At 45.2% G+C, this 8,677-nt stretch overlaps 1 annotated feature.

Moving 5' to 3' along the window:
• Window positions 6,906-7,065: an enhancer, noted in NCBI's record as "active region_28957". NCBI's record gives its function as "activates an Ori minimal core promoter by ATAC-STARR-seq in GM12878 lymphoblastoid cells {active_cell/tissue: GM12878}" and the evidence as "EXISTENCE:reporter gene assay evidence [ECO:0000049][PMID:35858748]".

An 8,677-nucleotide genomic window follows, 5' to 3' on the forward strand; every position in this document is an offset into this window, starting at 1 on the left:
GCTGGGCATGGTGGCGCGTGCCTGTAGTCCCAACTACTTGGGAGGCTGAGGCAAGAGAATCACTTGAACCCAGGAGACCATCGTGGAAAGCAGTGTGGTGATTCCTCAAAGAGCTAAAAGTAGAACTACCACTCGGCCCAGGAATCTCATTACTGGGTATATAACCAGAGGAATATAAATTGTTCTACCATAAAGACACATGCATGCATATGTTCACTGAAGCGCTGTTCACAATAGCAAAGACATGGAGTCAGCCTAAATGCCCATCAGCTACAGATGGGAGAAAGAAAATGTGGTACATATACACCATGGAACACTATGCAGCCATAGAAAAGGATGAGATCATGTATTTTACCAGAACATGGATGGAGCTGGAGGCCATTATCTTTAGCAAACTAACGCAGGAACAGAAAACCAAATACCACATGTTCACACTTGTAAATGGGAGCTAAATGATGAGAACACATGAATACATAGAAGGGAACAACAGGCACTGGGGTCTACTCTGGGCGGGAGGGTGGGAGGAGCGAGAGGAACAGAAAAGATAACTATTGGATACTGAGCTTAATACCTGGGTGATGAAATAATCTGAACAACAAACCTCCGTGACAAGAGTTTACCTATGTAATAAATCTTTACATGTACCCCTGAGCCTAAAATAAAAGTTAAAAAAAATGGAAAATTTATGTTTGCGTATACTACCACAGTTAAAAAGGGGATTTCATCTGTATTTTTTAAAGCCAGGTTTATTGGCATATAATTTACATGCAGTAAAATTCACCCTTTGGAGTGTGTAGTTCTATTAATGTTGACAACCTTGTACAGTCACGTGACCCCCCCAGCACAACCAAGACACAGAACAGCGCCATGCTTCTCAAAGTTCCTCATGCTGCTTTGCCATCATTTCCCCCCTCCCCTCAAATTAGCCCCTAGCAACCACTGATCTGTTTTCTGTCCCAATTGTTTTTTGTTTTTCTTTTTCGCAAAATGTCATCCTACAGAATATAATCTCTTGAGTCGCGCTGCCTTCACCTAGCATAACGTGTCCGAGAGCCATCCATGTTGCATATATCAATAATTCTTTCCTTTTCATTGCTGAATAGTATTCCCTTGTATGGATGTACCACAGTTTGCTTCTCCATTTGCCATTGAAGGACAGTTGAGTTGTTGGCAATTATAAATAAAACCACTGAAAACATTCACATACAGGCTTTTGCATGGACATGTGTTCTCATTTCTCTTGCCGGGTCATATGGTAAGTGAATGTTTAACTTTATAAGAAACATTTATAATAAACATTTAACTTTATAAGAAACTGCTCAGCTATTATCCAAGATTATATCATTTTGTTTTTTAATTTCTTTTTTTAGTACTTCATTTTTATTGCTGTTCTACAAAAACATAGATCCACAATGGATCAGAATTAAAAAGCAACCTGGTCCTACCCTACAGTAAGTTTTAGGAGCTCTAGTTTGCAAAGAGTCAGTAGATGAAGCATTGGGGAAAAGGCTTATCAGCAAAGACAGCAACACTTGCAAATGTCTAGGGGCACCTAGAGGACTGAGAGCTTGGAATGGAGAGGGTGGCTGGTGAACAGGGAGGCTGAGGATGGGGTCAGGGACCAGATGGTGCGAGATTCTGGGGGCTAAGCTGGGACTTTATCTGGAGGAGTGTTTGGAAAGCCATTGAAAGCTCTTAGGCAGAAGAAAATGATTTGATTTACATTTCAGAAAGATCCCTCTGGCTGAGAGTGGCAGCTCCCTGCAACTCCCGCAGGCCTCCAGGCCAAAGAAGAGGAGACCCAGACTGGGATGTTGGCAGCAGTGGGCTTAGAAAGTACAATGGATAGAATTTGGGGATGCACTAGATGGGGGTGGGGGGCAAGGCTTTGAATGGAGTGAAGGGGACTCAGCTGCTCTGGCTTAAGCTGGATGCCCCTTTAGGGGAGTCAGTGGGATCAGGAGGGGCCTGCGTGGGGTGGGAGTCAGTCAGAGATGGAGACCTCCCAGCTCTGCCTCCAGGAGTGCCTGCCCCGCCCAATCTGGATTCAATTCAGCTGTCACTCAGGCAGGCCTCTGAAATGTCCCCAAACAGCCAGTGATTTGTGCAGGCCTGGCCAGCCCGTTGTTTCTTTGGGATGTGGTCTTTGCCAAGATTAACAAAGGGCTCTGGGGGTGTTGGGGGGCATGGGAGGAGGTGGCCAGGGAGAGGGGGCTCATCTCAGGCCCAGCCGCCGCCAGTGAAGGGTGTTGATTTCAGCCTTCGTCTTAAGTATACGTGGGCCTCTGGGCTTTTGAGGTTGTGTGCACACAGCTTTCAATTGCATGTAGGCGATTCAGTGCACTCGTGGGTATGTGTGCATCGGGCATCTCTCTCGGGGTGCCTGCGTCACTGTGCACTGATGGGGATCGCCATACATGCAGCGGTATCTTCTCTGTCTGCCCCTCCAAATCTACCCTCTTCCCTGCTCTGTGCCCCAAGGAGGCTGACGCTGTGCAGCACATCAGCCAGGTTCCTTGTTGTCTGGGTTCAACCAGGGGGAGGCTTGGCCAGGAGATCAGAGGGCAGGGAGGGATGGGACAGGTTGGCTCCTTCCCCATGGGGCTGTGGCTCGGGTGCTGTCTCTCTCCCACAGCCACAATTTCCACTGGACAATCCTCTCCAAAGCCACAGCTCTTACCAGCTCCTGCAATTGTTCACTCCCCTGGACCCTTCAGGCCTAGCACTCTCCGCTATGGCCAGCCCCCAGGTGCTTCGCTGTGGCTTTGGGGTCTCCCTTAGCCCTGCCCTCACCCTTGTAAATGGCCCCTTGATAAAATTTTCCTCACCTTGTTTGTGCTGATTGTTCCCTGCTGGGGTCCTGGCTGAGACAGCCCGTGCATACATGTGGGTATGTGTGCAAGTGTTCAAAGTGCATCGCTTGAATGGGTCTGCACACATATCTGAGTGTATTTGTGCACACATCTGCACGTGCTTTGTCCATGTGGGCATCCTTAAATGTGCCTATGTAACCATTTGAGAATATGGGCACATGTGTATGCATGTATGCCCATGTGGGTGTGTGCATTGTCTCGTGTGTTTCACATGTGCATGCTTTTGGGTGGGAATGGCTGCACGTGGCTATGAGTGTATGCTGCCAAAGCCAGAATAAGGGCAGAGACTGATAGTTGCAGGTACAGGCGGCTTCTCCTACAGGCTCCCAGACAGCCAAGTATCACAGGGCAGCTCCTCTCAGGTTCCCCCATGGGGCCTCTTAAGAAGCTTTGCCCCTCCAAAGGGAACTGTTCCCAGGAGTTCAGCTTGTTTTGTTCAAAAAATATCACTGGGGCCCCTGCTGCCTCCATCATTACCCTCTGAGGCGCTCCCCTCCCCATGCCAGGTAGCCTCCTTCGGCTGCAGTCTCAGGACCTCAAACCACTTGCAGCTTCAGATGATGCTCAGAGAGCAAGACCCACCTTTACTGAAAGGGTTATTATCTTTGCTCCATAACAGGCTTTTGCAAGAACTCAGAAGTTATCAAGAAAATCCAACTCGGCCAGGCACGGTGGTTCATGCCTGTAATCCCAGCTCTTTGGGAGGCTGAGGGGGGTGGATTGTTTGAGGACAGAAGCTCAAGACCAGACTGGACAACATGGCAAAACCCCGTTTCTACTAAGAATACAAAATAGTAGTTGGGCACAGTGGTGCACACCTGTAATCCCAGTTACTCAGGAGGCTAAGGTGGGAGAATCGCTTGAACCCAAGAGGCAGAGGTTGCAGTGAGCTGAGATCATGCCACTGTACTCCAGCCTAGACGACAGAGCGAGAGTCTGTCTCAAAAAAAAAGAAAAAGAAAGAAAATCCAACTCAAACTCTATAAACCAACTCTATAAAAATGAAAGATTTCTGTGCAGCAAAAGGAATCAAATAAATTTAAAAGACACACAAATTTACTAGAAATAATTATCTATAATTTATATTATAGACTAAGAGTAATATCTATGACATGCAAAGAGTTCCTGCAAACAAATAAGAAAATAATAACAACCTGATAGTAAATGGGCTGACATATTGTCAAGTATTTCAAAAAGAAATATTACCAAAAGCCAGTAAATAGATGAAGAAAGCTTAAACTGTCGAGTAACAATGAAAATTAAAATGTGTGATAAAATCACTTTTTGCCCAACAGGTTTACTAAACTAAAAAATGTAATATTCAATGACAAAGGGGGTGTGGGGAACTGAGCACACTCACGTGCTGTGGGAGGGGATATAAATTGATATTGGAGGGGAGGGGACAATTTAATAGTATCTGTCAAAATTGATAGATTTGGGGATTACAGTGCACATCCTATACCCAAGCAATTTCACTTGCAAAAATCTGTGTTGCACAATCACTAGCACATGCATGCAAAGATATGTCTGTAAGGTTATTCCTTAAAGAATCAGTAGTGTAAAAAATGTATTACATTGGTGCAAAAGTAATGGCAAAAACCGCAATTACTTTTGCACCAACATAATATTTATAAACAACTTAAATGTTGTTTAGAGGAAATATGGGTGACTAAATGTTGGTATATCTATACTCTGGAATACTATAGCACTATTTTAAAAAGTGAAGTAGGCCAGGCGTGGTGCTCACGCCTGTAATCCCAGCACTTTGGGAGGCTGAGGCAGGTAGATTGCCTGAGGTCAGGAGTTCGTGACTAGCCTGGCCAACATGGCGAAACCCCATCTCTACTAAAAATAGAAAAATTAGCTGGGCATGGTGGCAGATAACTGCAATCCCAGCTACTTGGGAGGCTGAGGCAAGAGAATTGCTTGAACCCGGGAGGCAGAGGTTGCAGTGGGACAAGATTGTGCCACTGCTCTCCAGCCTGGGTGACAGAGTGAGACTCTGTCTCAAAAAAAAAAAAAAAAAAGAAAAGAAAAGAAAAAAGAAAAAGAATGAAGTAGATCTGTAGTATGGACACAGAATCTATAAAATTCATAATACCTTTTCTAATATAAAAAGAAAAATTGAAAACAATGTATTATTAACCCTTAATAGTTTAAGATAACAGGTTAAAAAAAAAAACAAAAGAGGCCGACTCTTTTGTTTGCTCATGCAAACAAATGATGGCTCATGCCTGTAATCCCAGCAATTTGGGAGGCCGAGGCAGGTGGATCACCTGAGGTCAGGAGTTCGAGACCAGCCTGGCCAACATGGTGAAACCTCGTCTCTACTAAAAATACAACAATTAGCTGGGAGCGGTGGTGGGTGCCTATAATCCCAGCTACTTGGGAGACTGAGGCAGGAGAATCGCTTGAACCCAGGAGGCAGATGTTGCAGTGAGCTGAGATCACACCAAGACACTCCAGCTTGGGCAACAGAGCGAGACTCTGTCTCAAAAAAAAAAAAAAAAAAGAAAGAAAAGAAAAGAGAAAGCAATGTGTTAGACAACCCCATATTTGTTTCTGAAAAAAAAAAAAAAAAACTGTGTGTGAATGGGCTTAATATTTTGAAAAGTATTAATGTGGTTATAAAAATATTTTCTGAGTATGCAATAATGGGTCAGGGAACCAGCCATCTGCCTTGAAAAGATAGTCCAGAGCAAAGGGCAGTCATGCCTTGCTCACAAGTCATGCCAGAACGTGAGAGCTCTTAGTCTGTTCAAGCTGCCATAGCAAAGTGCCATAGACTGGGGGGCATAAACAACAGAACTTTATTTCTCACAATGCTGGAGGCTGTCAGTTCAAGGTCAAGGTGCCAGACAATTTGGTTGCTGGTGAGGGCTCTCTTCCTGGCTTGCAGATGGCCACCTTCTCACTGTGTCCTCACATGGTGGGAAGAGAGAATGAGAGAGAGATTGCTTCTTCTTCTCATAAGGCCGCCAATCTGGTTGGATTAGGGCCCCATCCTTCTGATCTCATTTAACCTTAATTACCTCCAGAAAGCCCTGCCTTCAAATACAGTCACACTGGGGGTTAGGACTCCAACATATGAATTTGGAGGGACATAATTAAATCTATAGCAAGCTTCATGGGGAATTGTGTTGCAACAGGGACTACCCAAGAAGGTGACCAATAATGGCCATCTTGAAGTCTGGCTACCACAGCCCATGTTTTGTGGCATCTTTGGATAATTTCTTTCTGATGCAAACAGCCTTGGAAGACAGGCAGAGTCTCTCCCTCTAGAGCCAAAAGCAGGCATGCTCACTGCCCATTAGAGAGGGCTTGGGCTTCCTAAACTCGGGGTTCCTCTCCTGTGACACAGTCCACTGTGTGTTCCCAGGATTTCTGGGGCTCTTCATGTTGATATGTGGGAATTTAGGCTTGGAAACCAATGAGAAAATGCTGATACTCTGGCTGCTGCTATTGCTGTGAGTCATGACCTGTCCTTTGTGTCAGACCCTGGAGCCTCATGTCTTCTACCAGCATCCATGAAGCTGTGGCAGGCTAACTTGTTAGCTTGCAAGTAGGGTAAAATCTCACACCCTAGACAGTGCTTGACAGTCCTCTGTTGCACTGAGTCAGGGTTCACCCTTGTGGCCAGAATATGGCAGAAGTGATGTTATGTAACCTCAAGACTATGTCATCAGGATAACGTAGCTTCTGTCTGGTTCTCTTAGGATGCTCACTCTTGGATCCCAGATACCATGCTGTGAGGAAGCTCAAGTTGCTCTATGGAGAGGCCCCCATAGAGAGGAGATGATAGCCCATGCTAGCTTGCCGGAAATATGAGGAGCCAACTTAAAATGGATCCTCCAGCCCAGTCCAACCTGCAGATCATTTGCAGCCCTGCTGACATCTTACTAAAATCTCAGGAGCAACTCCGCCAGAACTGCCCAGCCAATTCCCCCTCACCAAATTCCCAACTCAGAGGAATCAGGAGAGATATTACATGATGACTGCTGTTTGAAGCCATTACATTTTGGGTTGATTTATTATGAGGGTTGATTATTAACACATGGGACTCTTGGCTCAGCACCCCCCTAGTAGCAGTGGCAGCCAGCAGAGGGAGACTCGAAGCTTTCCTGTGTTGTTCAGAGGAAATATGGATGACTAAATTTTGGTATATCTATACTCTGGTATACTGTAGCACTATTAAAAAAAAATGAAGTAGGCCAGTCACAGTGGCTCACACCCATAATCCCAGCACTTTGGGAGACTTGAAGCTTTCCTGTGTCGTGTAGAGGCAGTGGTAAGAGCCAGGGCCACTGTGAGGCAAGAGAGGGTGACTTCAGGCCAGAGGGAATCTGGGTGGGGCTTTTGGGCTATGGCCTGGATGGAGGATGAGAAATTACAGTAGCCTCAGCCTTCAGTCTGAACACTTGTAGGGCACATGGCAACCAGGGAGAGGGACACAGTCCCAGAGGCCAGAGAAGGCAGATGGTGACTCTGAGCCTATGGCCCCAACTCTCCCTCCCCCACACAAGGCCACTGATATGTTTTGGCTGTGTCCCTACTCAAATCTCATCTTGAATTATAGTTCTCATAATCCCCAAGTGTCATGGGAGGGAGCCGGTGGAAAGTAATGGAATCATGGTGGTGATGGTTTATAAATGGCTTTTACTCTCTTCACTCAGCTCTCATTCTCTCTCCTGCCACCCTGTGAAGAGGTGTCTTCCACCATGATTGTAAGTTTCCTGAGGCCTCCCAGCCATGTAGAACTGTGAGTCAATTAAATCTCTTTTCTTTATAAATTACCCAGTCTTGGGTATTTCTTCATAGCAGCATAAGAATGGACTAATACAGCCACCTAAGCCACACTTCCCCTTAAGCATCCAGGCACAACCACTGGAGAGAAGCGAGACAAGGGAGCTATCTGGGGAGATCAGGAACTACAAGAAGGACCAGTTTAGATGATTGGACTGGACAAATGGAATCCACACATAGGGGAAAGTGTCCTATTGTTCCCACTGGCCAATGGTTGTGGGGCTCAAGAAGACAAAATAAAGAAACAACATTTATCCACATTTCCAAGTTGTAATGTGAATAACATTTGTGATCTTGCGAGCTACACACACACACACACACACACACACACAAACACATGCACATGTAAATAGAAAACATCTGAAAGGATCTATGATCAATTGATAACAGTGATTACTCCTAGAGAGAGATTTTTTACTCTATTGGTTTTGTTTTTATTTTTAAAAATGTATTTATCTCTCTTTTTTTGCTAAAAGCATTGAAGGGGGAGAGAGAAGAAGAAAGTATCAGGTGGTGGAGGAATACGTCTGAAAATGATCGTTGGGTAGGCAGGTCTGGGTTAGGAATCCTGGATCCACAACTTACCTGCTGTGTGTTGGAGGGCAAGTTAATAAATCCCTCTGAGCCTCAGTTTCCCCATCTATACAATGGGGGATGGCAATAGGACCTCCTTCCTAGGACAACGGTAAATATTCAGTGAAATAACCCATGTAAAGCATTCAGATCAGCACCTGACACGAAGTCAATGTTAACTTTTGTGTATAACAAATCCTATCATCAGCATGTTTTGCTTTTGTTCATTATTTTGAAAGATTAGAAATTCAGAAAAATCAAGAGAATAGTATAATAATCACACATAATCATTCCACCTAGATTCACAGCAAATATACAGGCATGTGTTCTCCCTTTTAAAAATGAACCAAACATTACAGATCAAGCTGCAGCCCTCCCAGCCACCCCCGGGCTCCCCTCTGGCCTCCTTTCTCCTGGGCAGGTCCCAG

Source organism: Homo sapiens, chromosome 9, assembly GCF_000001405.40.
Source record: "Homo sapiens chromosome 9, GRCh38.p14 Primary Assembly".
NCBI classification, from domain to species: Eukaryota; Metazoa; Chordata; class Mammalia; order Primates; family Hominidae; genus Homo; species Homo sapiens.